This window comes from Homo sapiens, chromosome 14 (assembly GCF_000001405.40).
Source record: "Homo sapiens chromosome 14, GRCh38.p14 Primary Assembly".
Lineage (NCBI taxonomy): Eukaryota > Metazoa > Chordata > Mammalia > Primates > Hominidae > Homo > Homo sapiens.
The window spans coordinates 31,252,415-31,253,625 of NC_000014.9; the positions used below are offsets into that span (position 1 = coordinate 31,252,415).

Genomic DNA, 1,211 nt, shown 5'->3' on the forward strand with positions numbered 1-1,211 from the left:
GGGTCCCAGTTACTTTTCTTGTTACCCAAAATAACAACTCTGTTCAAAAATAAGATCCAGGTTAGGATTCTCTGGTATCCTCAAAAGATAGATTTAAAAAAGCCAGTCTGAGGCCGGGCATGGTGGCTCACGCCTGTAATCCCAGCACTTTGGGAGGCCGAGGCGGGTGGATCATGAGGTCAGGGGTTCGAGACCAGCCTGACCAACATGGTGAAACCCCATCTCTACTAAAAAAACAAAAATTAGCTGGGTGTGGTGGTGGGTGCCTGTGGTCCCAGCTACTCAGGAGGCTGAGGCAGGAGAATGGCTTGAACCCGGGAGGTGGAGGTTGCAGTGAGCCGAGATCCTGCCACTACACTCCAGCCTGGGCGACAGAGCGAGACTCCATCTCAAAAAAAAAAAAAAAAAAAAAAAAAAAGCCAGTCTGATGGGTGGACAGTGGCCTGGTGCCAACTTTGAGCTTGGTGCAGAGGGGCTTGGTTCATGACCACGGCTCAGTGGCTCCATGGACAGGTGTGTGGTTTTGTTACATCCTATTGGGTGGCTTTGCCCAGTAGCCTCCAGGATCCAAGGTAGGGGCAGATTTAGCTGTCTGTGCTGAGCTTTCCTCCCTCACCCAAACTTCTCTGAGTTATGAGTTTGTGCTCCTTGGCTTTCTGGATGCCAGTGCCTACTCTCTGCAAACATGAGCCTGGCTCTGAGCTTGTGTTCACTGGCAGCTGGAGGACAGAGCTTGAGCCTCTTCCCCTGATGGTGGCACTTAAATCAGTAGGGTTCCCAGGGCCCAGTGAACACACTTACATAATGCAAATAACTGTTATCATTATATAAATAACCAATGATGAAAACATAATTCTAGGACAGAAGAAATTGATGCCTTAGAAATAAGAAGATATATTTAAAAGGATTCAACAAAGTGGAAAAACTTCCCCAGTAGTCCCCAGTCCTTCTGATTCAGTCTCTCAGTGGTTAGCTGAAAGCAAATGGGGTAATTAGAAAATGCTAGAGCCGGCTGGGCACGGTGGCTCACACCTGTAATCCCAGCATTTTGGGAGGTGGATCACGAGGTCAGGAGTTTGAGACCAGCCTGGCCAAGATGGTGAAACCCCATCTCTACTAAAAATACAAACATTAGCCAGGTGCGGTGGCAGGCACCTGTAATCCCAGCTACTTGGGAGGCTGAGGCAGAAGAATTGCTCGAACCAGGGAGG

At 49.0% G+C, this 1,211-nt stretch overlaps 1 annotated feature.

Moving 5' to 3' along the window:
• Window positions 289-788: an enhancer, noted in NCBI's record as "H3K4me1 hESC enhancer chr14:31721909-31722408 (GRCh37/hg19 assembly coordinates)". NCBI's record gives its function as "activates a minimal SCP1, AML or CMV promoter by ChIP-STARR-seq in primed H9 embryonic stem cells {active_cell/tissue: H9 hESC(primed)}" and the evidence as "EXISTENCE:reporter gene assay evidence [ECO:0000049][PMID:30033119]".